The sequence below is a fragment of the Homo sapiens genome, chromosome 12, assembly GCF_000001405.40.
Source record: "Homo sapiens chromosome 12, GRCh38.p14 Primary Assembly".
Lineage (NCBI taxonomy): Eukaryota > Metazoa > Chordata > Mammalia > Primates > Hominidae > Homo > Homo sapiens.
Window position 1 is genome coordinate 6,364,457 of NC_000012.12, and position 27,597 is coordinate 6,392,053.

At 51.9% G+C, this 27,597-nt stretch overlaps 2 protein-coding genes and 1 long non-coding RNA gene across 22 annotated transcripts in view, besides 4 other annotated features; 2 read left to right on the forward strand and 1 right to left on the reverse strand.

Moving 5' to 3' along the window:
• SCNN1A (sodium channel epithelial 1 subunit alpha) overlaps positions 1 to 12,903 on the reverse strand; it is a 30,513-nt gene extending 17,610 nt beyond the window's left edge. The window contains exons 1-2 of one of the 3 annotated variants that reach the window (NM_001159575.2): positions 12,796 to 12,903; positions 9,912 to 10,381 (exon numbers count right to left, since the gene is read on the reverse strand). In NM_001159575.2, the coding sequence (NP_001153047.1) occupies positions 9,912 to 10,381; positions 12,796 to 12,810 (485 nt within the window). In that variant the 5' untranslated portion in view covers positions 12,811 to 12,903. Of the gene's footprint in view, positions 1 to 9,911; positions 10,995 to 11,048; positions 11,108 to 12,795 lie in introns of those variants that run through there. The other 2 variants (NM_001038.6, NM_001159576.2) reach the window with 2 other exon arrangements.
• On the forward strand, positions 857 to 9,119 carry LOC105369626 (uncharacterized). Of its 3 annotated transcripts, XR_931591.3 has the most exons (4): positions 857 to 1,325; positions 4,159 to 4,377; positions 6,304 to 6,488; positions 8,699 to 9,119. It is a non-coding gene; the product is annotated as an uncharacterized LOC105369626 (long non-coding RNA). The 3 variants fall into 3 exon arrangements; XR_931590.3 differs by lacking the exon at positions 857 to 1,325 and having other exon boundaries at positions 3,983 to 4,377; XR_931592.3 differs by lacking the exons at positions 857 to 1,325; positions 6,304 to 6,488 and having other exon boundaries at positions 3,983 to 4,377.
• Positions 9,514 to 10,118: an enhancer, noted in NCBI's record as "H3K27ac-H3K4me1 hESC enhancer chr12:6483136-6483740 (GRCh37/hg19 assembly coordinates)". NCBI's record gives its function as "activates a minimal SCP1, AML or CMV promoter by ChIP-STARR-seq in naive H9 embryonic stem cells {active_cell/tissue: H9 hESC(naive)}" and the evidence as "EXISTENCE:reporter gene assay evidence [ECO:0000049][PMID:30033119]".
• On the forward strand, positions 10,704 to 27,110 carry LTBR (lymphotoxin beta receptor). 16 transcript variants are annotated; one of them, NR_182271.1, is made up of 11 exons: positions 19,706 to 19,998; positions 20,132 to 20,228; positions 20,566 to 20,691; positions 20,771 to 20,923; positions 21,610 to 21,706; positions 21,891 to 21,988; positions 23,342 to 23,454; positions 23,942 to 24,049; positions 24,344 to 24,369; positions 25,656 to 25,884; positions 26,204 to 27,110. NR_182271.1 is itself a non-coding variant. In NM_001414305.1 (11 exons), the coding sequence occupies exons 1-11, from the start codon at positions 19,903 to 19,905 to the stop codon at positions 26,479 to 26,481; spliced, it is 1,368 nt and encodes a 455-aa protein (NP_001401234.1). In that variant the 5' UTR covers positions 19,706 to 19,902; the 3' UTR covers positions 26,482 to 27,110. The 16 variants fall into 16 exon arrangements, 12 of the variants coding, with proteins under 12 accessions (NP_001257916.1, NP_001401238.1, NP_001401234.1 ...); NR_182273.1 differs by having other exon boundaries at positions 23,342 to 23,412; NM_001414305.1 differs by lacking the exon at positions 23,342 to 23,454 and adding an exon at positions 21,062 to 21,121.
• Positions 11,935 to 12,539: an enhancer, noted in NCBI's record as "NANOG-H3K27ac-H3K4me1 hESC enhancer chr12:6485557-6486161 (GRCh37/hg19 assembly coordinates)". NCBI's record gives its function as "activates a minimal SCP1, AML or CMV promoter by ChIP-STARR-seq in naive and primed H9 embryonic stem cells {active_cell/tissue: H9 hESC(naive and primed)}" and the evidence as "EXISTENCE:reporter gene assay evidence [ECO:0000049][PMID:30033119]".
• Positions 18,759 to 19,624: an enhancer, noted in NCBI's record as "H3K27ac-H3K4me1 hESC enhancer chr12:6492381-6493246 (GRCh37/hg19 assembly coordinates)". NCBI's record gives its function as "activates a minimal SCP1, AML or CMV promoter by ChIP-STARR-seq in naive H9 embryonic stem cells {active_cell/tissue: H9 hESC(naive)}" and the evidence as "EXISTENCE:reporter gene assay evidence [ECO:0000049][PMID:30033119]".
• Positions 26,205 to 27,017: an enhancer, noted in NCBI's record as "H3K4me1 hESC enhancer chr12:6499827-6500639 (GRCh37/hg19 assembly coordinates)". NCBI's record gives its function as "activates a minimal SCP1, AML or CMV promoter by ChIP-STARR-seq in naive H9 embryonic stem cells {active_cell/tissue: H9 hESC(naive)}" and the evidence as "EXISTENCE:reporter gene assay evidence [ECO:0000049][PMID:30033119]".

A 27,597-nucleotide genomic window follows, 5' to 3' on the forward strand; every position in this document is an offset into this window, starting at 1 on the left:
AAAATTAATTGCATTTAGGCCGGGTGTGGTGGCTCACGCCTGTAATCCCAGCATTTTGGGAGGCCGAGGTGGGCAGATCACGGGGTCAGGGTATCGAGACCACCCTGGCTAACACGGTGAAACCCCGTCTTTACTAAAAAAAAAAAATACAAAAAATTAGCCGGGCTTGGTGGCGGGCGCCTGTAGTCCCAGCTACTCGGGAGGCTGAGGCAGGAGAATGGTGTGAACCCGGGAGACAGAGCTTGCAGTGAGCCGAGATCGCGCCACTACACTCCAGCCTGGGAGACAGAGCGAGACTCCGTCTCAAAAAAAAAAAAAAATTAATTGCATTTCCGTCTCAAAAAGAAATTAATTGCATTTCTACATGCTGGCAACAGAAAATTGGAAAACCAGAAATACAACAGCAATATTAAATAACATAAACAACATCAAATACATAGAAATAAATGTAACAAAAGATGTGCAAGACTGAAAAATATATTGAAATCCCTGCTGAAATAAATCAAAGATCAGAATAAGTGGAGATATATATATATATGGATTCAACACAATCCCTATCAAAATTCCAGCTTTTTTTTTTTTTTTGGACAGGATCTTGCTCTGTCACCCAAGCTGGGGTGCAGTGACACAATCGCCGCTCACTGCAGCCTCCTCCTGGGCTCAAGCAATCCTCCCGCCTCAGCCTCCCTAGTAGCTGGGACCAAAAGTGTGCCACCACACCAAGCTAATTTTTATATTTTTTGTAGAGAGGGGGTTTCACCACGTTGCCCAGGCTGGACTCCAACTCCTGAGCCCAAGCAATCACCAGCCTCAGCCTCCTAAAGTGCTGGGATTGCAGGCGTGAGCCACTCACTGCACCCGGCCCCAGCAGGTATTTTTAAAGAAATTGACATACTGCTTCTAAGACTTATCTGGAAATGCAAACAATCTAGAATAGCTAGAAAATTTTAGAAAAGAAGAGCCAAGTTGGAAAATGTATTCCTCCTGACTTTAGTATTTACTATAAAGCCACAGTAATCAAAACAATGCGGTTCTTGGTAAGGAGAGACAATAGATCAATGGAATAGAATAGAGTCCAGAAATAAACTCATGCATAGATGGTCAACTGATTTTTGGCCAAAACACCAATTCAATTCAGTGTAGAAAATAAAATTTGTTAGCAGGTTCTGCTAGAACAACTGAATACTGTATTGGAAAAAAAATGACCCTCAATCTCTACCTTATGCTATACAGGCAAAAATTAATTCAAGATGGATCATAACGTAAACATGAAATTCAGAACCATAAACACTCTAGAAGATGGAAGATATCTTCCTGACCTTGGGGTAGGCAAAATTCTCTTGTAAGAAAAATATCTAACAAATAATCCCTAGAACAACCGTATGTAGTAGGCACTTTATGAACAGACCTACATTTTTTTTTTTGAGACGGAGTCTCAATTGCCCAGGCTGGAGTGCAGTGCCGTGATCTCGGCTCACAAGCTCCGCCTCCGGGTTCACGCCATTCTCCTGCCTCAGCCTCCCTAGTAGCTGGGACTACAGGTGCGTGCCACCACGCCCGGCTAATTTTTTGTATTTTTAGTAGAGACGGGGTTTCACCATGTTAGCCAGGATGGTCTCGATCTCCTGACTTCGTGATCCGCCCGTCTCGGCCTCCCAATGTGTTGGGATTACAGTCGTGAGCCACCACGCCCAGCCGAACAGACCTACATTTTTAAAAGATTCTGACCCTGTACACAGCTAGTGAGAATATAAAATGATACGATCATTTTGGAAAACAATCTGGAAGTTCCTCAAAAAGTTAGATATAGAGTTACCATATAACCCATCCATTCCACTCCTAAGAGAAATGAAAGCATATGCCCCCACAACATACACACACAAATGTGCACAAATGTTCATACCAGTATTATTTCTAATAGCCAAAAAGTAGAAATAACCCAAATGTCCATCAATTGATGAACATATTAAGAAGGAATGTAGGGATTTACAGTGAGCTGTGTTTAATTTACGGTGTTTAGGCCGCACCCGAAACACATTAGAACATAAAGATTTGTACATGAGGCTGGGTGCAGTGGCTCACACCTGTAATCCCGGCACTTTGGGAGGGCAAGGTGGGTGGATCACCTGAGGTCAAGAGTTCGAGACCAGACTGACCAACATGGAGAAACCCTGTCTCTACTAAAAATGCAAAATTAGCCGGGCGTGGTGGCACATGCCTGTAATCCCAGCTACTCGGGAGGCTGAGGCAGGAGAATCGCTTGAACCCGGGAGGCGGAGGTTGCAGGGAGCCAAGATCTCGCCATTGCACTCCAGCCTGGGCAACCAGAGCGAAACTCCATCTCAAAAAAAAAAAAAAGAAAAAGATTTGTACATGAATGTTCATAGCCATTTTATTTATAATAGCCAAAAAGCCTGAAGCAACTCAAAGGTGTGTTGAAGGTGTGTGTTTGGCATTCTAGAAAACTTGCTCATTACTGCTAATTAAAAGAATGGTAATCTGCGGGGCATGGTGGCTCACACCTGTAATTCCAGAATTTTGGAAGGCCAAGTGGGTGGATCACTTGAGCTCAGAAGTTTGAGACCAGCCTGGGCAACACGACGAAACCTTGTATCTACAAAAAATACAAAAATTAGCCAGATGTGGTGGTGCACACCTGTAGTCCCAGCTACTCAGAAGACTGAGGCAGAAGAATTGCCTGATCCTGGGAGTTTGAGGCTACAGTGAGCCGTGATCGTGTGACTACACTCCAGCCTGGGCAACAGAGCAAGACCCTGTCTTAAAAAAATAAAAAAGAATGGCAATCATAGCTAGCATTTATTGAGCACTTACTATGAGCCAGGAACTATGGTATTAGAATGTGCATTATTTAATTGTTAAAAGAAGAACGTTAGGCAAAATTAAATTTAACAGAGTTGACTTGAGCAAAGAACGATGCTCAAATCAGGCAGCCCCTCAACCAGAATAGGCTCATCAAAACCACTCAGCAATAAAAAGGAACTGATACGTGCAAAAAACACAGGGAAGAATTCCAGAAACATTAAGCAAAATAAGTCAGACACACATACAAGAAAATACATACTGTATGATCCCATTTATACGAATTCTATGAACAGACAAAACCAGTTGATAGAGATAGCATTCAGAAAATGACAGTGGGAGAGGAAGAGGAATTGATGGAAAGGGGGCACCGGGTAATGGGAGTGTTCAACATCTCGACTGTCAAACCTGAGTGGGCACTCAAGATTTGTTCATTTTATTGTACATCAATTATGCCTCACTTAAAGAAAAAAATACCAGTGCAGGGTCTTACTTGCCAGATTCAGATTTAATGGGTCTGGGCTGGAGCCAGAACAAGGTTGTTTGAAAGAGCCCCCACGTGGTCCTAACGTGCAGCTACATTAACCACCGTCTAGTCCAGATCTTCACTTCCTCTTCCATTCAGCTCTATTTCCATCTCTACCAGAAAAGTCTAGCTGGCTGGGCCTTAGGCATCAGCTCTGGCAGCCCCTGAACTTCTCACAGGAGAAAATGTAGCTCTGGTTGAAGGTGTGTTTGGCATTCTAAGAGACTTGCTCGTTATTTATAATTAAAAGAATGGCAAGCATAGCTAGCGTTTATCGAGCACTTATTATGAGCCAGGCACTGTGGTATTAGAATGTACATTATTTAATTGTTAAAAGAAAAACTTTAAACAAATTAAATTTAACTTGAGTTTCACTGAGCAAACAATGAACCTCGAATCGAGTGCCCCCCGCCCCCAACCAGAATAGATTCACAGTGACTCTGGGGGCTGCTGCATGATTCGATAATATTCGTGGACAGGAAAAGGAAAGTGACCCACAGAAAACGGAAGTAAGGTACAGAAACACCCGGATTGGTTACACCCCCGGCGTTTGCCTTATTTGGACAAGGTTTGACAAGTGGGCTGCCTTTCATTGGCCAAAACTCTGTGATTGCTATAAAGGTAGGTTATAGTGTGTTTACATATCTAGTTAGGTGGCAGTTCACTATGCATGAAGAAACCTTTAGGACAAACTTTAAAAATGTAAAGAGGCAACTTTAGGCTAAAACTTATTTAACATGATTTAATCTTCAGTGTAACACAGTATACCGTTAGCCACTGTTAGCTAACACAATTGTCATTCCCTTTTCCAGGTGAAAAACCTGAGGCATGATGACTTATTCCAGTTGGCACAGCTAGCAAATGGGTCAGACAGCACTCCAACCACCACACTGCCCTCTGGTCCGTCCCTGCTACCTCTGGCTATTTTAGGAGGGCCACATGGTGCCCCAGAAAGAGCACCCAAGCCAGAACCTCTCTGAGATGTAGGGCCTGGTGTTCCAGCCACACACTTTCTGTCTGTGTAACTCGGGGTAAGTGACCCAGCCTTTCTGACTCTCAGTCTGAGTTCCTTATCTGTAAAATGGGCATAACACTAGATCTGCCTACCGCATGAAGCTCTTGGGGGGTTAAGTGAGAAAATACTCAGTGACACAAAGTGAAGAGACCATCGACTATCAGGAAGACACAGAGGAGCCAGGAGCCCAGGAAAGCGAATTTGCCTTTCTCAAGGTCACACAGGAAGAATCCAGATCCCCCACTTGCCTGGAGTTATTTCCACCACATCCTGGCTGGGCCTCCCTTTCCACTCCTTCCCCAGGCTGGCTCAAGTCCCTTCTGCCTCCTGCCCCTCCCTCTCTCTCATCACCAACTTCAATCTGGTTGTCACTTCTCTGGCCACACTCCTCTCCCCTGGGGAGCCCCCATGCCATCTCTGTGCCCGGCTTCCTCCTCCATGCTGCCACCCTACACGCCTCCCTCCTGCCACCCTACTCACCTCCCTCCTGCCACCCTACGCACCTCCCTCCTGCCACCCTACGCACCTCCCTCCTGCCACCCTACGCGCCTCCCTCCTGCCTGGCCTCACTGATGAGCCCCCCCACTGAGCACAGCCTGGGCTCCCAGCCCTTGATCCCACACACACAAACCTGTGACAAGGCCTCCAGAGGAGGCTGGGTTCCATAGGGCCCCACCTTCACTCTCCCAAAAGGTCTACTGCTCCTCTTTTTTGGCATAAGATAAGACGGAATGGCCGGGCGCGGTGGCTCACGCCTATAATCCCAGCACTTTGGGAGGCCGAGGATGGTGGATCACGAGGTCAGGAGATTGAGACCATCCTGGCTAACACGGCGAAACCCCGTCTCTACTAAAAAAGTATGATAAATTAGCCGGGCATGGTGGTGGGCGCCTGTAGTCCCAGCTACTCTGGAGGCTGAGGCAGGAGAATGGCATGAACCCGGGAGGCGGAGCTTGCAGTGAGCCAAGATCCCACCACTGCACTCCAGCCTGGGCAACAGTGCAAGACTCTGTCTCAAAAAAAAAAAAAAAAAAAAAATCTCTCCCTCCATGACCCCGTGATACTAGAAATTCCTATAGCAGGAGGCAGAGCCTTTGAGTTGACACCTAGAGCTAAGAGAATTGACCACTAAACAGAAAGCACATTGAAGACATCCGATCTTGTTTTGAGGAGACCAGCGGCTGGAGGGAAGGGATAAAGAATGCCCACAGTGGGTTCTTCCAGACAGTCCAGCCCTTCTGGCCTTGACCTCCTCCTCAGGTCATGCTCACTGCCCTCACTCCCATCTGCTCTGGCAGGCAGCCCTACATTGGAGGGTGAGTCAACCCTTACACAATTCCATCGGGCAGGCATTATTATCCCCATTTTACAGTTGAGGAAACTGAGGCCTATCAACTAGGCAAATTCCCCAGGGTCACTCAGCCAGGAAGGACTGGAGCCAAGATGTGAACCCAGGCCTGTTCACTCCACGGCCCCTGCTTTTTCCACTGTGTCTGCCTCCCAGCTCTGAAGCATCTGGGATCAGGCAGCAAAATCTCCTTTCCCTGCAGCTGGCCCTCTCCCCTCTAGCCCCTCTTCCGTGTCCAGGACGGAGCAGCAGGGTGCAAGGACCCTGGGAGACTTGGAGGCTGACACTCTGCTCTCTCCTCCTCTTCCCTCCCTCTTACCCCGGTGGCCTCCTCTCACAGAAGAGCCCATGCTCATCCTAACAGCCGTGGGAGCCGCCTAGGCCCCATCCCACCTGGGATGAGAAGGATCCAACCACCATGGCAGGGTTAGAGGGATGTCAACTCTCAACAGTCCAGGCTTTTTTTCCTGCCAGCCCTGCTGAGCACAGCCTGGTGTCCAGACTGCCCAGGGAATGCAGGGTCTGCCCGCCACGTCTGGGGACCACAGGCAGGGACGGCCTCCCTAGCTCAGGGCTTTCCCATCCTCCCCACAGGAGCTCTCTCTGGGAAACTGCCCCTTGCTTCACCCACTCCTGGCCTCCTGCTGTGCCATTTCCAGGAAAGAAGCTACCATGACCTCCTTCATTGTTCAAGAACCCCAAGTTCTTGGGTCCAGCCTAAACCGTTCCTGGGACTGGATGAAAAATATGTCTGTGGGCTCTGTTTTCCATGACTGTAGGTATGACTGGCCCTCTCCTTTCAGTGAAGAAGCCCTTTGTTGACCAGAGAGAAAGGGGCTGCAGTGGCCAACCCTTCCCTTCGGACTCAGCACTTCCTTGCTTAGTCTGAAAGGTCTTCAGTGCTTTGTCCCCTTTCCTTGAAGTTAGAAAGCAGCACAGAGTCCTGCATGTCCACTTTCCTCCTCTCCCTCTGCTGGTGGCGACCCTCAGCAGGTAGGCAGCCCTGGGCAGCTCTGCCTCACTCCAGTTCCTCTAGCTCATCAACCGATCTCCTCGGTAGGAGTCATTCACTGCGCTCCCGGTGATTCACTCACAGGGGCTCATTAACCTGTTTACCTCCCTGCCACTCTCCTGAGTAGGAGTGGCCCTGGATCCCTCCCTCCTGCACGCCTGACAAATTGTCCTCCAATGACTGCTGCTCTGCCCGCTGGGCTCCCACCAGCTGCCCCCGACCCTGGGAGGTCTTTGCCTGATCCCTACTTAAAGTGTAATGGGTAAAAGAGCTTTGAAATCAAACACACTAGGTTTGTGACTCAGCTGCTAACCTGAGATGCCCTGGCTTTCCATTGGAGCGTGGCGGGGGGGCGGGGGGTGGGGGTGAGGGTGGACGGTGGGGGTGGGGGTGGGGCGGGGGGCGGGGGATGATTTTTGAGTCCCAGTTTCACCACTTGTTGTCTGTCTGAAGTTGAGGCAGTTACTTAACTCTCTGGGACTCAGTTTCCTCATCCATAAAATAAGAGTCATCATGAGACCTACTTCCAAGGTGTGTTGTGAGAATTAAATAATTTAAAGCAGAATCATTTGATTTAGATTCATTTGTAAAAAGTCTGGCCCATAAATATATACAAACATTATTATTGTTTTTTTTTCCTTTGAGACTGTGTCTCACTCTGTGGCTCAGGCTGGAATGCAGTGGCGTGATCTCGGCTCACTGCAGCCTCGGCCTCCTGAGGTGATTCTCCTGCCTCAGCCTCCCAAGTAGCTGGGACTACAGGCGTGCGCCACCACACCTGGCTGATTTTTGTATTTTTAGTAGAGACGGGGGTTTCACCATGATGGCCAGGCTGGTCTCGAACTCCTGGCCTCAAGTGAGGGGCTCTTTTAAACAACCTTGTTTGAGCTCCATCCCAGATCCCTCAATGCCTGCCTTGGCCTCCCAAAGTGCTGGGATTACAGGCGTGAGGCACCATGCCCAGCGGTTATTTTTTAATTTAATAAATAAATAATGTATGTTCCCTTGCTCAAATTATTTCCTCTTGCCAAGCCTTAATTTCCTCATCTAAAAAAATGGGAATAATACTGCCCACCTCCCTGGACTTGTCAGTATTAAATGAGAGAGTGTCTATAAAGCACCCAGCTTTAGGGTGTAGCACATAATGTGACTACAAGGTCAAGTGTGTAGTGCTTGGTGGGTGTTGCATCTCCTCCCGCTGTGCTGGGGAGCCCTTCCCCGACTCCTCTCCTCTCCTAGGTGTTCTCTCCCTCCCGACTCCCACAGCAGCCCTTCAAGAAGGAGGGATTCTTTCTGGGCAGATGGCTGCCTCCCAGCCTGCAGGCCCCAGAGGCAGGGCTTATGGCTTCCTTTCCCCGGCTTTTTCCTGGACTGTCTAGGGCCCCGCATCCAGCAGAACCTAAGAACTGTGCAGGCCTCACCCGATTCACCCCTGCCCTCCCTTTCCATCTCTCACTGACATATTTTCAACCACAAATATTTATTGAGTGCCCACTGCCCCGCCTGCTGTCCTTCCCCTTCCTGCTGGGTCCCTCCCCTCCACCAAGGCCTAAAGGGGTGAAGATGTCTGCAGGCAGCAGGGGGAGAAAAATGAGGCTAAGAGGAAGGACCCAAGAGAGCTCTGAAATGAGGCGGAAGCCACATCTGACTGGAAGTTTCATTCACTCAAAGCCCCACATCTTGGGTATTAAAAAGAGGCAGAGTTTTGGGATTAGGCGTAAACAGGATGAGTCACAGCTCAGTCACTCTCTCTGTGATGTTGTGACTTGCCTCTCTTTGCCTTAGTTTCCTCAAGTGTAAAATAGGGATAACAATAGCACCGGGCTTGTAAGATGTGAGAATGAAATGAGATACCCAAGACACCTTCGCAGCGTCTGTGCACACGGCAGCTTCCTAAGGAAATGGTCCCTACCTGGGACATTATACAGACGTTAATCAACGAAATGACCTGGCTTTTTTTTTTCTCTCTCTCTCCAGGACAGGACGTCCCACCCTTTCTTAGTCCGTAACGCACCTTTGGACATGATGGAATATACGAAGGGGCCTCCACCCACAGCATGACCAATCCCCAGCATCCAAAATCGCACACATACCAATATGTGCACACACACACTCACACCCACACCCATAAAGATTTTGCACTCCTTGAAGGTACACTAACTCACCATTTTTATCATACTTATCCCAGTGTGCCACAGTTACTGGCTTATATGCCTGTCTCTGCTATCTTATTTTATCTGTCTCCACAACACAGCAAACTACCTGGCCTTCAATAAAGGGCTTATGAATTATTCATGAATCCATTTTGCCAGGTGCCTAGCCCTGTGTCTGGCTTGAAGCAGGTGTTCCCAAGGTGTGGCATGGCTGAGTGAATACAAATAAAAGGTATACAAAAGCACTCAGCCCTGCCCTCCTCTCTTCTCCACGCTTACCACCTGCTCCGGTTTCCAGACCCAACATTGGCAAAGAGCACCGATGAAACCCAAAAGTTCAGGACACACCCAAGCACGTAAAGGTCAGGCACCTGGGCAGGTCAACAGTGCAGCATTTTAGCCTGGGTCTTTTGGGGGAAGAGCTTCACAAGGAGCTGCTCTCTAGCCTGACCCATTCTCCTTGTTCTGTAAGGCCCCTGCCCCCAGCCTTTGGGCTCACTTGCAGCCCTAACCTCCACGATCCCCCTCTTTGCTTTCTCCATAATAAATTCCCCTTCTAAACAAAGACTGACAGCACCACCTCCACAGCACCTGCACGGTCTCGCCTCCCCTCACCTAGCCTCACCCCTCCATCAGACTCTCCTGCTGAGGTGGACGAGGTCTTATACTTTGCTGGCATCTTGCTCCAGAAAAGGGATGCAGCTGAGCACACCCCTGCCCTTTTGCAAGCACTCCCTCCCACTTGCAGGAGGGAGAAGGGAATGGGAGGGAAGGAGAAGAGAGGGCAGGGGAGGGCAATGCTGCTCCAACAACCACACTCTGGGTGAGCCTGGGGTGCTAGGATGGCTCCACTGGGCAGGGACGCCAGTCCAGTAAGCTGGAGGCTCCTCATTTTGCCAGCAGTGAGCTCTACCTGGGACAGGGGTGTCAGTTCCCACCCTCAGGTCTGAGGCTCTGCCTGCCCAGTGAGCACCTCAGCACCCTGGACCACCCTTCCAGGCGCAGGCACCAGGGAAGGGGCAGAGGGACTAACCGACCTGTAGGGATTGAGGGTGCAGATGGTCACTGCGGGGAAGACGAGCTTGTCCGAGTTGAGGTTGATGTTGAGGCTGACGGGGTAGCTGAAGTACTCTCCGAAAAGCAGGCCGAATTGCCAGTACATCATGCCAAAGGTGCAGAGCCACAGCACTGCCCAGAAGGCCGTCTTCATGCGGTTGTGCTGGGAGCACACCAGGCGGATGGCGCCGTGGATGGTGGTGTTGTTGCAGAAGAACTCGAAGAGCTCTCGGTAGGAGCGGTGGAACTCGATCAGGGCCTCCTCCTCCGCCGTGGGCTGCTGGGGCGCCGCAGGTTCGGGGCCCAGCCCCTGCTCCTCACGCTTGTTCCCCTTCATGAGCCCTGGAGTGGACTGTGGAGGGCTAGAGTCCTGCTCCTCCAGCTTGTTCCCCTCCATGAGACCTGGTATGGGCTGCAGAGGTCTAGGGTCCTGCTCCTCCAGCTTGTTCCCCTTCATGAGCCCCGGAGTGGATTGGGGAGAGCAAGGGTCAGGGTCAAGGCTGAGCTCTGGGCCCTGAGTGCCCTCTCCCATCACCCCTGGAACCCGAGTGAGGCTGCCCCTGGCCATGCCCATGTCCCACCCTGCGCCCACATTCTCCCACTCCTCCCTCCCTCCTCCACCTTTCCTGGAGCCAGCAGACCTGCGGGAGTTGGGGCCAAAAGTGCCGGAGCTGGGCTTCCCTAGAACGGCCTCTCCTCTGCTTCCCTGATAGGGCCACCTTTCGAGTTTTGTCCTAGCACCTCCCTTTCTGTCTCTGCCCCCTTCCTTTGGTCTTCTTCCTCCAGGATCTGTGTCTCAGCTCCTGCCTCTCACTCCCTCTCTATCTGCCTTCTGTTTCTCTTTGGGTCTCTCCTGCTCTCCTCTTTCTGGCCTGCCTCCTCTCTCTAATCCTGCCTCTCTTCCTCTCCCCCCCTTGCCTTGCCCCCTCTCACTCTAGGCCCTCAGCTCCAGCCTCTGGCCCTGACCTCGAGCTGTGTCCTGATTCTGTCTCTGCCCCAGGACTGCAGGGCTCCAGGAGGTCTGGGCTGCCTCCAGCTTCCCACTCCCAGGTTGCGGCTGGACTGGGACTGGTTCCTTTCCAGTTGAATCTGGCAGCCAAACCTCTCCTCCCCCTCACCTGACAGGTGCAGCGGCCTGGCTGGGGAGCCCGCCCGCTGGCCGGCCAGGGATGGAAGCGACAGGAATCTCATTAGCATCTCAATTAAAGGTGAGCAGGGCGGGGGGAGGGGCTGAGGAGGAGTCAGAGCCGGGAGTTTTCCGAAGGAAGGAGGGCTCCCGAGGGCAGGTGAACTGGGAGTACTGGACCTGAGAAGGCGGACTCTGGGCAGGGGCTTTAGACGCAGACAGGCAAGGAGGCTGGGGGACAGGATGGCAGGTGAGGGGCAAAGATCTGAACAAGTAGAAGGATCCTGAGCCCACAGCTAGGAGGGCAACACAAGGAGAAGGGGCCAGCCAGGCTGAGAGGGCCTGGGTGGGGAACCGGGAGGACAGGAGGGCAGAAAGAGGGAGACAATAGAGAGGGACAGCGAAGGACAGAGAGATAGGGATGGAGGAGGGGCACTGAGTGAGTAGAGGCAGGTGGGGGGCAGTGGTGGGGGCAAATAGAAGGAGCCAGCACCAAAGGGAGTCTGTCTCCAGGAAGGAGAGCAAGGGGGGAGTCCCAAGTGTGCTTCCAGGAGCTAGAGGCTCAGCAAGTGGGCAGCCCTCCAAGGGCACCCACAGGTCAGCCTCACCCTCAGGCCCTGCAGAGAAGAGAGAAGAGGTCTCTGCAGGTCTCCTCCCCGCTCACTAAGTGGGAGCAGCGCACTCAGGTGGGATGCGTCTGCCTCCTCCTGGTCCCTCCTCTTTCCTGCTGATTCCTCGCCACCCCCTCCAACCTTGTCCAGACCCGGGAGGGGCCCAGGTGAAGCTGGGGGCTAGGCGGGGCCCTAGGACATTCTGTTCTTTTTTACACTGTTGGCTGCCAGGCCAGGAATGTGTAATCGCCCCTGCTGTGGTCACAGAGTTGCAGGAATGTGGGCAACCAGAGGCAGCGCGAGGGCCACGCAGGACACTGTGGACACAGACCCGGAGCCCAGGAAGAGGCAGGGAAAGCAGGCACTGAAGGTGCAGGGAGGATGTGGCCAGCGCTGGAAAGGAAGAGGGTGGGCATGGCACACGCCTAGACAGGCCCTGGGAGGAGGAGAAATTCGTTGATGGGCTATATTTTCTCCAAAATCTCTTTCCAAACTTAATGCAGCAAAAGGATAAGGAGTGGAGTGCCAAGTGGTGAGCAAGGAGAGAGAGGAGGGTCAGAGAATCAGACCCAAAAAGGGCTGGAGGAGACTCGGGAGAGCCACCCACACAACCCAGGCCCTGCACGCGGCAGGGAAGGCTGCCGCTTCCTCACGGGCCCCACAGGAGGCAGCCCAGAGTGCAGGAATGTGGTCACTGGCTTGTCCTGCCTCCCTCCACAAGCCAGCAGACAAAGGCCCAGCCTGAGCATTGATACACACCGGGGGAGGAGATAGGCCTGCAATACAATAAGATAAGGTTTCTATTTGTACACTTTAAAAGATTGTCTTTAAAACGGACTTCTAACAAAAGTGCAGATCTCAGATTTCTCAGAGATAAGACATAAGAGCCAAGGGCTAGGGGAGCCTAGGGGCTCACTGCAGGAGACTCAGGAAGCCTTCCCAGAGAAGGTGTCATCTCTGCTGAATCTTGACAAGCAAGGAGTTTAGCAGGCAAAGAAGAGAAAAGGCAGTACTCCAGGCTCAGGGTCCAACCTGGTCTGTGGCTTCCTCTCTTGCGGCAGTCTCTTGCGACTTCTTAAAGTGAAAGCCGGTGTCAACCAGGATTCCAAACCAGGTTCCCTTGCTTACCTTGATACTGCTCATGATACCTCCCCTTGGAAGGGACAGCTGGATTTTTCTTCATTGTCCTAATGAAGAAACTGACCCTTCCCAAGGATAAATCAGTTTTCTGAGGTTAGAAAACAAAATAGGAGCAGAGCTATAAACAGAATTCAGAATTCTCCTCCTCCTCTGGGGCTATCTACTTAGCGCTTTTGCCATTTACTTCCTGAGACAGACTCATGGGGGATCGGGGCTCAGGTGCACCTGGATGTGAAAGCCGGGAAGGCCTCCCTCACTCCCACACAGAGCCCGTGGATTCGTCTGCTCTCTGGGTGCTGGGTTATCTCCTTGGCTCTGTGAAAAGGTCTCTGCACTGTCCCCACTGCCCCACATATCCCAGAGACCCCTAGAAACTCCAGTCTCCCTTGAGCCAGGTCCTTACATTGGGCATGGTCCTCCCTGCAATAAGGTGCTCAGCACCCTGGCTGTTTGATCTCAAAGGTTCTGAAAAGCACCTCCCTGCCTTTTCTATTTGCCAGCTCATGCCTGAAATCCAACCACTAGCTTAAGGCAGCATGGCAAATAGTTTTCATATCAAGGGCTCTGTGAGAAGAATTGCAATGCCTGGTCTGGGCTGAGCCAAAGGGTGGTGACCCTGCCACGTCCTGCCGGGTATGGGAGTGGCAATGCGAGCCTAGTGCTGCAGCATTCTAGACCTGGAGCGGGCTAGAACAGGCTTGGTGTTGTGAGGAAAATAGAAATCTGAGACCTGGACTTTGGTCAGAAGTCCATTTTAAAGATGATCTTTTAAAGTGTACAAATAATACACAAATATGTTTTTGTCACAGTACAATTTTTCAGCAATACAGAAGTATATAGAGCTTCCCTTAGTCCCCTTCCTTTCCCTCCCCAAAGGGGAGCCACCATAATTTGTATATCTGTCTATATCTTTTTGTGTGCCTTTATAAACTTACATGTATTTTTAAAAAACAAAATATATAGTTCTTTTTTATGACAGAGACCATGCTATAGGTATGTTTCTACAACTTCCATTTTTGCTTTTATTTTCTTATTTATCTTAGAGACAGGATCATGCACTATCCTCTAGGCTGGAGTACAGCAGCATGATCATGGCTCACTGCAGCCTCCAACTCCTAGGCTCAAGCAGTCCTCCTGCCTCAGCCTCCCAAAGTGCTGGGATTACAAGTGTGAGCCACCATACTCAGCCCCTATTTTTGCTTTTAAACTATGTGACTTTGAGAAAGGCACTTGACCTCTATGGGCCCCGGTGATCTTACCTGAGAAAATGAAAGGGCAAGAAGGGGTGGGTAAGGCAACCCAGATGGACAAAGACTTTTTCCAGCTGACCTTGCATCTAGCCCCCTGCTTCATGCATGAGGGGACTGAGGCCCACAGAAGCAAAGTGACTTGGCCACAGTCACCCAGGAGTTAGGGGTGGGGTCAGACTGAAAACCAGGCCACTCCTTTCCAAGCCCAGTTCTCCTTCTCTGACTTTGAGAGAAGTACAGTTTTGTTCTATAAGAAGTCAAGAGCTTTGTAGACTCTGTCTTGGAAGGACCCCCTGCCTTCCCAGGACTACCCCCAGACTCCCCCAGAGCCCCAGCCCTTCCCGCCAACCCAGGGCTGCCTTCCCCTCCCAACACCAGCTATCCTCTAACCCTGTGGTGTGGCCATAAAATATGCACGGCTGCAGGGAGAGAAGTGAAACCAGAGGGGCTGCCATGGGATGAGGGTTATGAGTGCAAAGGGTCTTCCTGCCTCTTGTTCTCCGCGGACAGGAGATGACGGAAGTAATCACTCCACCCTCCTAGGGAGAGCCTATCTCTGCACTTACCACTGTTTACTATTATTTATTATTATTATTTACTATTATCCTGATGTATGTGTGTTTGTACGTATACATCCGTTTGGGGTCCCTGACTTCCCGCAACACAAGGACAGAGACCAGGCGTATTCATCTTGGTGACCTCAGTGTCTAGCGGTCACTGTTTGCTGACCCAGTCTGCAGAAGACAGCAGAACTGGCGTCTTTCCTAGTTTATCTTTGACAGAGCGGGATATGCTACGAAAAAGCATCTGCAAAACTTCAAACATCCTAACTTCCTCTGACAACCCATTTATTTGTGGTCTATTAATTTATCTAAATTTTCTTCACTTTTCCCTGTTCACTTCTATCCTTTCCAGGATAAGAATCAGTTACTTAGTTAAATGCAACTCTTTATTCTTACTACTTGGAGCTAATTAGCCACTTCACACTGGGGGCTGCCCACTGTGGAAGACAACAGTCCTTTCAGCTGCCCTTATGTGGTACAGATTTCTCTTTCATTTAAAATGATGGACCAGAAAAATGCCACTCTTCATCTAGTCCCCTGGCAGTTTACTTAGAAGTTCACTACTAGAAGTTGGCCGGGCATGGTGGCTCACGCCTGTAATCCCAGCACTTTGGGAGGCCGAGGCGGGTGGATCATGAGGTCAGGGGATCGAGGCCATCCTGGCTAACATGGTGAAACCCCGTCTCTACTAAAATTACAAAAAAAATTAGCTGGGCATAAGTGGTGCACGCCTGTAGTCCCAGCTACTCGGGAGGCTGAGGCAGGAGAATGGCATAAAACCGGGGAGGTGGAGCTTGGAGTGAGCCAAGATCGTGCCACTGCACTCCAGCCTGGGAGACAAAGCAAGACTCTGTCTCAAAAAAAAAAAAAACAAAAAAAAAAACAAAAAAAGAAGTTCACTACTAGAAGTTTATCACTTTGATTGAAGACAGGGTTTATCAACCTTGGCACTATTGACATTTTCGGCTGTATCATTCTTTGTGGTGGGACAGGATGATTCTGTCCTATCTACAATCCTGTGCAGGATGTTCAGCAGCATCCCTGGCTTCCATCTATTAGATGCTAGTAGCACCTCCTGAGTCATTGTGACCAAAACATCTCCAAATATTGCCAAATGACTTCTGGGGGGCAAAGTCACCCCCGTTGAAAAGACTGGGTTAAGGCATTGTCACCACTGAAAATGCAAATACTCTGGAAAAGGACAACCCTCATCTGTTATGCACTTCTGGGTGTTTGCCAGACCATTTCCAAGAGCACTAGTCAGCTAAGAGCAGAGTGGAGAAGAAGAGAGAAAGAAAAAGTATTTAGAAGAATCCATTCCTGGCCGGGTACAGTGGCTCGTGCCTGTAATCCCAGTACTTTGGGAGGCTAAGGTGGGCGAAATGACTTGAGACCAGGAATTCAAAACCAGCCTGTGGCCAACATGGCAAAACACCATCTCTACTAAAAATACAAAAATTAGCCGGGCCTGTTGGCGCATGCCTGTAGTCCCAGCTACTCAACTTGGGAGGCTGAGGCCAGGAAAATCACTTGAACCTGGGAGGCGGAGGTTGCAGTGAGCTGAGATTGCACCATTGCACTCCAGCCTGGGCGACAGACTGAGACTCTGTCTCAAAAAAAAAAAAAAAAGAAGAAGAAGAAGAAGAAGAATCCATTTCCATCAGCCCCCTTTCTGGATGCCTAATGGGCCTGTGGAAAGAAGGCTCTCTCAGCAGCTCCTTCGGAAGAAGGCCTGGGAGAAGAGTCCCACCCTCACACACCTTCTAGGCGTCCTGGGGTGCTCGGTCTGGGTCTGGTGTTGCCCAGTGGAAATCAGTCTCAGGAGGCTCTGGTGAAAAACACAAAAGGACAGGAGTAAAGACAATGCCCTGCCCGCGGTGAACCTGTGGATTTCTCACCCCTGGAGTCTCCCTTTATCCTCCTGGGGATGGCTGGGCATTATAGTAGCCATTTATTGGTAAGATTTGTCTTTCGTGATCCAGCTGGGAAACAAGAAACACTCTAAGTCTTTCAAACAGAAGAAGTTTAACACAGAGAACTAACTGGTACATGGGTGATGGAGGAGCTGAGAAGACAATGGGAGGCAGCTCAGAAAACAGCAGAGCGGGAAGCAGCTACCATCTCTAGGCCTGGAAAGATGGCAGGGTGATGTAGCATCAAAGACCAAGAAGCCTCCAGAGCCATTTGGCAGGAACTAAATAGTGTGGACTACTGGTAGGAGATGGGATTATGGAAGTGGGGAAGGAAGGAAGACAACCAACTGCAGGTGAAGCCAGAAAGCAGAGAGGAGAGAAATAGCCTGGCTGCTTCACTCCTCCCATCCCACCTCCATCCCACAGACCTGCAAGCAAACCAGTAGCTGACTGACACAATAAAGAGGCACACAGAGATAAAGTGATGGGGCCAGGATCAAAACCCAGATCTCAGGGCTCGTTCCTTAGGGTGTAGAGAGTCCATGAGGGCTGAAGCGCCAGCTTACGGCTGGCAGCAGAAAGAAACATACAGTCCAGCCAGCTGGGGTTAAAAGGGGTCTGGACATAGTGGTTACCTGTGAAGCAGGAAGCTTTGACTGGGAAGGGCATGTAGCAAACATTTGTAGTGCAAGGAACATTCTGGGGCCGGGTGCCGTGGCTCACGCCTGTAATCCCAGCACTTTGGGAGGCCAAGGCGGGTGGATCACAACATCAGGAGTTCAAGACCAGCCTGGTCAACATGGCGAAACCCCATCTCTACTAAAAATACAAAAATCAGCCAGGCATGGTGGCAGGCGCCCGTAATCCCAGCTACTCGGGAGGTTGAGGCAGAGAATTGTTTGAACCTGGGAGGCAGAGGTTGTAGTGAGCCGAGATTGCACCACTGCACTCCAGCCTGGGCGACAAAGCGAGACTCTGTATGGAAAGGAAAAGAGAAAAGAAGAGAAGAGAAGAGGTGTTCTGGACCAGTTGGGGGATATGCAAGAATACACAAAAGTGAAGACTCTCTGAGCTGTATCTGTAAGATCAGTGTACCTTACGGTTTCATTGTATTATATGTTACACCTCTATTAAAAGAAAGGGTCTCAGCAGCATAAGACAGGGTGGGGAAAAAAAGAAAAATAGAATAGAGAAAGAGTCCCTGTCTTTTAGGGTAAAATCCTGAAATATTTTCAAATGAAATGATATGATGTCTGGGATTTACTTCAAAATAATAATGAGGGATTTGAAGAGTGTGTGCGTTGGTGGGGGAGGGGGTATACAGAATAAATGAAACTGACAGTGAGTTGAAGCTGGGTAAGGAGTATATGGGAGACTCCCAATATTACTTTTTCTCTTTTGGTATATTATCTTGCATGTGGAATTTCCACAGTAAAAAGTAAAAAGAAGAGAGAGAAAAAAGGACCTAGGGTCGCTACACACACATTCCTTTACGCGTTTAAGAGCTCAGCAGGGACTCTCATCCCAGCCCCCAGCGCTAGGGCCCTGGAAGGCTCAGCAGCCCCGCGCAGTGCATGCTGTTCTGATACTTCTGCCCTTTCCAGCCATCTTTGGCCCATCTGTACGGTGAGCTGCCTGCACCAGGTGAGGGGAGAGAGCCTCACAGAGTGAAATGCCTACAGCCTAGGCAGGTCCTTTCCCCCTTTTGTGACCTCTCCTCCCCATGCACACTTCCCATCACCTGCACCTGTCCAGACATCAGACCTGAAGTTAGACAGACCAGTGTAAGGACGAGTGCTGAACAGAGTCCTTCAGGGAGGGGGATAGTGCCCAAGTGACCTATCTCAAGAGAGGTTAGCCCCTCATCCCAAGGGAGACATCCCTGAGCCACAAGGAGTTGGCAGGACTGCTGGAATGAGTTGGGACCTAGACATCAGGAGACCCAGATTGTAGCTGGCTCTGCGGTGGACTGGCTCTGTGATGTGGCCATCACTCATTTATTCCATAAATACCTATTGGGCACATGGTATGTGCCAGACTCTGCTAAGCATGGGGAACACAGACTTGAAGATTCAGCCTGGGCCATGGTGGCACTCACAGCCTGGTGGGAAGCAAACAAGACAGCCAGGTACAGAGGGCAGTCTTCACGGGGACTGTGCAACCTAGGGCAGAGGTTGCCTTCCAGAGCCTCAGTGAAGCCTCAAGGACAGGTGGGAGTTAGGAAGACGGAAACTTGGGGACCAGAGAACCACGTGTAAAAGGGGGCAGCTGCAAGTAACTCCACGGGTGGGTGGGGTGTTGGGTTGAGGGAGATGGGAGGATGAAACAGGGCAGGAACGAGACCAGGCCACCCTGGAATCCCGGTTCCCTTATGTATCACCCTTAGCCTCCCTCTCCATGCTTAAGGTGAGGGGGCTGGACTGCGTGGGCTCTCAGCTTTCTCCAGTTCTAAGGGGTTTGAAGGTTCATGGGCAAAGAAGCCAGAGCAGAGGGACTGAGTGCCCAGGTCCAGCCTGCTGGCCCCAGGACTCCCCTCCGCATATCCTCCCCCTCTCTTTGGGAGGGAGGTTCCCTGAGGACAGGGAGCAGGGCAAGCTGCACAGCTCTCAAGGGTCTCCTAGGTGACCTGTGCCCACTCCTGTGCGGATTGGGCTGGGTTGGTAGCGTGGGGGGCTGGCTGATTTGCTAGTCCCTTGTAATTTGTCTGAAAAACTCCCACAGTAGGGCAGGACAACGGGGGAGGAACCCGGGCATCTGCCAGCCGGTTCTCCTCGGTCTCAGAGCTGCTTCTGCGGCCTTGCAGTCCCCGCGCCCTGCCCTCTCCATGACTGCCCGTCCTGGGCCCCTCGCTTTCCAGATCCCGCACCCAGCTGTCCCTTGCGCTCTCTGGAACTCCCTCTGCTCTCCCTGCGAGGCTTGTCCAAGGGCTGACCCCGGGCCCGCCGCCCTTCCCTCGGCTGGGCCAGGGCTGTCCGCAGTCCGCTCTCCCGATCGGGCTTCCGAAGAAGGGAGGAGGCCGGTTCCGGCCCCGCGGCCCTCACGTGCTTTCCCGGCCGCCCCTCCCGCCCCGCATCGAGGCAGACAAGCCTGTTCCTCTTCCCTGGGCTGCGATTGCGACAGGCCGGCCTGGCTCCCAGCGCTCCCTGTCCCCGCCCCGCGGCCAGCTCGCTCCACTCCCACTTCCTGAGCTCCGCCATGGGAGCCCTGGAGGCCCGGCCTGGCCGCTCCCGGCCCTGGGGTGCACATCGGCCCTGAGTCCCGTCCCAGGCTCTGGGCTCGGGCAGCCGCCGCCACCGCTGCCCAGGACGTCGGGCCTCCTGCCTTCCTCCCAGGCCCCCACGTTGCTGGCCGCCTGGCCGAGTGGCCGCCATGCTCCTGCCTTGGGCCACCTCTGCCCCCGGCCTGGCCTGGGGGCCTCTGGTGCTGGGCCTCTTCGGGCTCCTGGCAGCATCGCAGCCCCAGGCGGTGAGGAAGGGGCCTGGTAGGAGTGGGCGAGGGTGGGCAAGAGGGATCTGGGCAGCCGTCGCTCCATTCCCTCTGCCCTCCCAAGCTGACCCCTGACTAATTCTTCTCTCCTCTTCTCCATCTCCCTTTGAAGGTGCCTCCATATGCGTCGGAGAACCAGACCTGCAGGGACCAGGAAAAGGAATACTATGAGCCCCAGCACCGCATCTGCTGCTCCCGCTGCCCGCCAGGTGAGAGGCAATGGCAGGACGAACCTGGGCCTCGGAAGTGGGTCACGGGGGCTCCAGCCCCCTCGCGGCCTCAGAGGGAAGGTGGGCACTGTCCCCCAGGAAAACTGGCTGCTGGAGACGAGCGTGGGAAACCCTGGACATCACGTGGAGGAGATGGGACTGGCCCTCCCCACTGGGCCTCCTCTTTCCTTACCTCACTGAGAGGGAGCCGGAGGGCCACTGGCAGGATGATGGGGGGCCAGAGAGACCGAGGGAAAGGCCAGGGTCACACTACAGGCAGCGGAGGTGAGGGTGGAGCCTCGTCTCCTGAGGCTCTACTGCTCCACTCACGTTCTAGGCACCTATGTCTCAGCTAAATGTAGCCGCATCCGGGACACAGTTTGTGCCACATGTGCCGAGAATTCCTACAACGAGCACTGGAACTACCTGACCATCTGCCAGCTGTGCCGCCCCTGTGACCCAGGTGAGTGGGGATGTGCCTGCGGGGGGGCTGGATCCCCTGGAGCTTGGCCCCTCCCTGAGCCCTCCCGTCTCCCCGCCAGTGATGGGCCTCGAGGAGATTGCCCCCTGCACAAGCAAACGGAAGACCCAGTGCCGCTGCCAGCCGGGAATGTTCTGTGCTGCCTGGGCCCTCGAGTGTACACACTGCGAGCTACTTTCTGACTGCCCGCCTGGCACTGAAGCCGAGCTCAAAGGTCAGAGGTCCCTGAGGGGCTGGATGTGAAAAGGAGGCTGGGTGCCAGGGATCTCAAGTGGGAGCAGGGAATATGGTACTGTGTCCACGGCGACCCCCCAGATCCTTGGCTTAAAATTCCTCTTCTCATTCCATGCAGAGGCTCACAGAAGGGTTCTGGAGGGACATGGAACTGGGACAGGTGCAGGGGACACAGGAGGTGGTTCTTCTCAGTACTGGGAAGCTTGGGCAAAATGGTAGGCAGTAGGCCGGGTGTGGTGGCCCACGCCTGTAATCCCAGCACTTTGGGAGGCCGAGGTGGGCGGATCACGAGGTCAGGAGATCGAGACCATCCTGGCTAACACAGTGAAACCCCGTCTCTACTAAAAATACAAAAAATTAGCCGGGCGTGGTGGTGGGCGCCTGTATCCCAGCTACTCGGGAGGCTGAGGCAGGAGAATGGCGTGAACTTGGGAGGCGGAGCTTGCAGTGAGCCGAGATCGCGCCACTGCACTCCAGCCTGGGCGACAGAGCAAGACTCCGTCTCAAAAAAAAAAAAAAAAAAGGCAGCAAAGCAGAGCTTGGGAAAGGTGAGAGCTACGCAATGGGGTGGATGGGCATCCTGAGGCTTAAAGGAAACTCACAGGCCGGCAAAGGGCCCCTCCCTTTTGCCCATTCACCCTGGCTGGCCTGCCTTTCTCTTGCCAGATGAAGTTGGGAAGGGTAACAACCACTGCGTCCCCTGCAAGGCCGGGCACTTCCAGAATACCTCCTCCCCCAGCGCCCGCTGCCAGCCCCACACCAGGTGAGTGCAGCCCCACCCAAGCTCCTTCCACCCTCTGAGAAGCCTCAGCTGCTAACAACCCCCAGCGCCTATCCTTGACACCACGGACTCGACTCACCACTTTCAGCCTCCCCGCCTGCCCAGTGGAGTCGGGACACTGGTGGGCCAGGGCGTGAAAAGGTCATCATCTTTTTTTCCTCTGCAGGTGTGAGAACCAAGGTCTGGTGGAGGCAGCTCCAGGCACTGCCCAGTCCGACACAACCTGCAAAAATCCATTAGAGCCACTGCCCCCAGAGATGTCAGGTGAGGGACCAGGGCTGAGGGACACGGGGGGGGCGCCTCTGAAAATGCCTTAATGCTCCACATCTTAAAAAAAATGGGGAAAAGATGAACACTTCCCTCCCAGAATTGGGCAAGAAGAAAGTTCCTTACAGAAAAAATTGGAGTATCTCTAGGCTAGTTTACACACACACACACACACACACACACACACACTTTTAAAATTATATATACTGTAATACTATGTCAAGGAACACATCCCACACTGAGATGTAATGATAACTACTATTGTCATCATTTTGGGCTTACCAACATTACACAATCCGTTTTTTTTTTTCACACAATCCATTAACTAGACCAAACACCTCTTTATTAGACTATATACTTTTATTATTAGACAGAAGATTCCCATTTGACTCTTTCTTGACTGTTTCCTGTGGACTGATTGGCTTGCTAGCCTAGTAGATGACTATTGTTTCTAATGACTGTAACATCACTAATTGGCAGAAGGTTCACTGTGTGTGTTGGGCACTCTGTAACCACTTTACATTTACTAACTCATTTAATCTTCTTAATGATGCTATGAAGTAGATTCTATTATCATCCTCATGGACTGAAGGAAGAAACCGAGGCTCAAAGAGGTTAAGTGATATACTCAAGATCACCCACACAGGTGGTCACTGGTGTTATTAGAACCTGTACTCAGGTTTTCTTACTCCAGAGCCCATGTCATAATGCATGCACTATAGAAAATTAGAGACTTCAGATAAGCAAAACTAAAAACTCACCCACAGAGCCACTACCTAGAATATCCACTCGTTACATTGTGGTATATATCCTCCCGGACATTTTCTATGCATGTTTATACATACTGGGTTTTGTTGTTGTTTACTAAAAGTGAAGTAATTTTAATATTTCGTAACCTGATTTTTTCATTCCACAATCTAAGTATTTTTCTGTGCCCTGTTAATTTTTAACTATGTATCAAATACAACTGGCATTTTAGAGCTGGAATTTTAGAGAGTATGTAAGCTAACCTCATCCTATATATGAAAAACTGATGCCCAAAGAAGTGAAATGACTTAAAAGTCACACAGCCGGGCAGGAAACCGTGGCCCAGACTCCCAGTCCAGTTTCTCCCCAGGCCTCCCATCCCATATTCCCTTAGGCTACAGATTTACATGAATGAGAAGAGGCAAAATGCCCAGCATAGAAATGCGGGAGTCCTCCCGCCCTTCCCCAGGCGTAGCTGACGGACACTGGAGGCTCCATGCTATTGCTGGCAGCACTGGTACCCAGAGAAAGAGAAATTACCCACTGCTACAGATCACAGCTGGAGAAGCCGAACTCCAGCCTCTCTTTCTCTTCCCCTCCTAGAACCTGCCCTGAGCAAGGGGGTGGAGAACTTGCAAGCCCTGCTCTACCAGGCGGCCACAGGCAGTTCCGAAGCAAGTTTCCCTACTCTCTCACCCCTGTAAACACCCCCACAGGTACAGGTACAGCAGGGCAACCCTAGCTCCTCTACAGCAGCCCCTCTGTACAATGGCTGAGGCCACAGAAATGTGGCTCTAGCCTGTGTCTGTTTACAACTCCAAGTCCCACCCTTCCCTACTGTCTCCCAATCCCACTTCCAGACCTTGAAAATCAACTGCCTAAGCTCCCATCCTGCACACACAAGCCTGCCCAATCCTGGTCTCTGAGCAGGAGGGCACCCACACCACCCCCAAACATGCCCATCCATGATACAGTCTCTCCTGGCTGCCAAGAGGTCCTCAAGTCCAACTTAGTTCCCCTTCTCTATAACCCAAGGGAAGTTTCTCTCATTCTGCCTTTAGGAGCTGCATTGTGTCTAGAAGGAAAAAAGCTGCTCCCTTTTCTCTGTCTGGGTTGCCCAGGGATCTGGAAAGCTCTTCCTTCTCCTCCTCCCCTCTGCCCTTCTTGGGGCTGTGATCACCCTCCTGTCTGCTGTCCTGGCAGGAACCATGCTGATGCTGGCCGTTCTGCTGCCACTGGCCTTCTTTCTGCTCCTTGCCACCGTCTTCTCCTGCATCTGGAAGAGCCACCCTTCTCTCTGCAGGAAACTGGGTAGGAAAGGGTTGGATGCAGTGGATGGTTGGCAATGGGAGCCGGAGGGAGGAATATTCAACTTCCCCGGTGCAACCCTCCACACCCTCAAGACTCCCAATGCCTACCCCCAACATAGACATCCTTATCTTCATCCAGCTGCTTATTCTGAGGCTGGAGATGAGAGTGACAGTGGCTTGTTCCTCTGGGCCCCCGGGTGGTCAAGTTGCTACACATTGTGCTGGGATGTGGAGGCTGAAAGGCTAGGTCTGAGGCCTGCCGGGGAGCCTACACCCATTTCATTCTCCATTGCAGGATCGCTGCTCAAGAGGCGTCCGCAGGTAATGGCGGGGGCTGAGAAGGCAGCAAGAAGGGGAAGAGGTGATGAGGGTACAAGGTGGAGCAGACAGGAAGAGAGTATGCAGGCTGACTCCACACTCATTCATTCATTCAACTGATGATTTACTGAACATGCCACGTACCAGGCACTGTCCTAGGCACTGGGCGTACAGCAGTGAGCAAAACACAGTACCTCATTTCCTGGAGTTCACATGCCCATGGAGCAAGAATAAGTTAAACTATATATCAGGTGGTATAATTGCTAAACAAAGCAGGGAAGGGGTCAATGAGTGACAGTGGCAAAGGATGGGGGTATTTTAGACAGAGTGGAGAGTGAAGGCCTCTCTGAGAACCTGATATTTGAGCGGAGAGCTGAAGAAGCAAGGAGCCAGCCATGGGGTTATCTGGGGAGAAAGTGCTCCAGGAAGAGGGAGCAACCAGTGCAAAGACCCTGAGGCAGGGGGCATGGGGAGGAGCAGAGGCAAGTGGTGAGTTGCCAAAGCATGCGGTGGGGTGTGGGAACTAAAGAAAGATGAGCCAGCCTGGGCAACACAGCCAGACCCCATCTCTACCCAAAATGTTGTTCCAAGTTAGCCAGGCAGGGCCAGGTGCAGTGGCTCACGCCCAAGCTCCCATCCTGCACGCACAAGCCTGCCCAATCCTGGTCTCTGAACAGGAGGGCACCCGCACCACCCCCAAACATGCCGATCCATGATACATGTAATCCCAGTACTTTGGGAGGCCAAGGCGGGTGGATCACCTGAGGTCAGGGGTTTGAGACCAGCCCGGCCAACATGGCAAAACCCCATCTCTACTAAAAATACAAAAATTAGCTGGGCGTGGTGGCAGGCACCTGTAATCCCAGCTACTCAGGAGGCTGAGGCAGGAGAATTGCTTGAACCGTGGAGGCGGAAGTTGCAGTTGAACTGAGATTATGCCACTGCACTCCAGCCTGGGTGACAGAGTGAGACTCTGTCTCAAAAAAAAAAAAAAAAAAAAGTTAGCCAGACAGTCCCAGCTACTCAGGAGGCTGAGGCTAGAGGATCACTTGAGTCCAAGAGTTCATGAGCCTGCAGTGAGCTATGATTGCACCACTGCACTGTAGCCTGGGTGACAGACCCTGACCCTGTCTGGAAAGAAAGAAAGAGAGAGAGAGAAAGAGAGAGAGAGAGAGAAAGGAAGGAAGGAAAGAAAGAAAGAGAAAGAGAGAAAGAAGAGGGAGGGAGGGAGAGAGAAAAAAGGGTCTGGGGCCCTCATCATTGTTTGGGTCTCCATCTCTTTCCTGCAGGGAGAGGGACCCAATCCTGTAGCTGGAAGCTGGGAGCCTCCGAAGGCCCATCCATACTTCCCTGACTTGGTACAGCCACTGCTACCCATTTCTGGAGATGTTTCCCCAGTATCCACTGGGCTCCCCGCAGCCCCAGTTTTGGAGGCAGGGGTGCCGCAACAGCAGAGTCCTCTGGACCTGACCAGGGAGCCGCAGTTGGAACCCGGGGAGCAGAGCCAGGTGGCCCACGGTGAGCCTGGGGCAGGGAGAAGAGAGGAAGGATGGGGAGGGAGGGATGGCTGGCAGGGAGAGACTGTGGGCCAGATGAAATAAAAAGACCAAAACAGAGGCAGACAGAGACTCCGCTGCCAGTCAGTGTCACAACTAGAGAAGAGGGAAGAGACTGGAAAACCCAGAAGCAGAGAAATGAACACAGAAGCTCAATAAACCAGCAGCAAGCAGGAGAGGGGCGGGGCCAGGGGAAAGGCGAGAAGAAGGCAAGAATTCAAGAAGCAGCGGGCCTGAACTGGGGGCCTTCCTTCCTCAACACTCTGCCTCCCTTCCTACAGGTACCAATGGCATTCATGTCACCGGCGGGTCTATGACTATCACTGGCAACATCTACATCTACAATGGACCAGTACTGGGGGGACCACCGGGTCCTGGAGACCTCCCAGCTACCCCCGAACCTCCATACCCCATTCCCGAAGAGGGGGACCCTGGCCCTCCCGGGCTCTCTACACCCCACCAGGAAGATGGCAAGGCTTGGCACCTAGCGGAGACAGAGCACTGTGGTGCCACACCCTCTAACAGGGGCCCAAGGAACCAATTTATCACCCATGACTGACTGAGTCTGAGAAAAGGCAGAAGAAGGGGGGCACAAGGGCACCTTCTCCCTTGAGGCTGCCCTGCCCACGTGGGATTCACAGGGGCCTGAGTAGGGCCCGGGGAAGCAGAGCCCTAAGGGATTAAGGCTCAGACACCTCTGAGAGCAGGTGGGCACTGGCTGGGTACGGTGCCCTCCACAGGACTCTCCCTACTGCCTGAGCAAACCTGAGGCCTCCCGGCAGACCCACCCACCCCCTGGGGCTGCTCAGCCTCAGGCACGGACAGGGCACATGATACCAACTGCTGCCCACTACGGCACGCCGCACCGGAGCACGGCACCGAGGGAGCCGCCACACGGTCACCTGCAAGGACGTCACGGGCCCCTCTAAAGGATTCGTGGTGCTCATCCCCAAGCTTCAGAGACCCTTTGGGGTTCCACACTTCACGTGGACTGAGGTAGACCCTGCATGAAGATGAAATTATAGGGAGGACGCTCCTTCCCTCCCCTCCTAGAGGAGAGGAAAGGGAGTCATTAACAACTAGGGGGTTGGGTAGGATTCCTAGGTATGGGGAAGAGTTTTGGAAGGGGAGGAAAATGGCAAGTGTATTTATATTGTAACCACATGCAAATAAAAAGAATGGGACCTAGATAATTTATTTTCTTGGGATTTATACAGAAACACTATTCCATGGAGACAATCTCAAAGACAAAGGTCAAGACACTAAAATATAATCCCATAAAGATATTTCAGTGAGGAGCTGGTGAGTATAGTCCAGGTAATAACAGTCTCGTCAGTGATGGCTGACAACGTGCCAGGCAGTGTTCTCAATGCTTTACAGTACTAACTTACTTAATCTTCACAATAACTCCCTAAGGTAGATATGATTCCCATTTAACAAATGAGGAAACTGAGGCACAGAGCGGTAACTTTCCCAATTCAGCTGCAAATGACAAAGCTGGGATTTGCACCTAGTTCGTCTGGCTTTTAGAGGCCTCTTGGGGAAAAAAAAGCCTTCATATACCACGCCCTTCCAGAATTTCTTTGAACGGGTAGAATGGTCTGGCCTTCTCAAATAATCAGATCTCTTGCATGTTCCGCAGGTGTTACTTTTCAGTCAACTCTCAAACATCTAG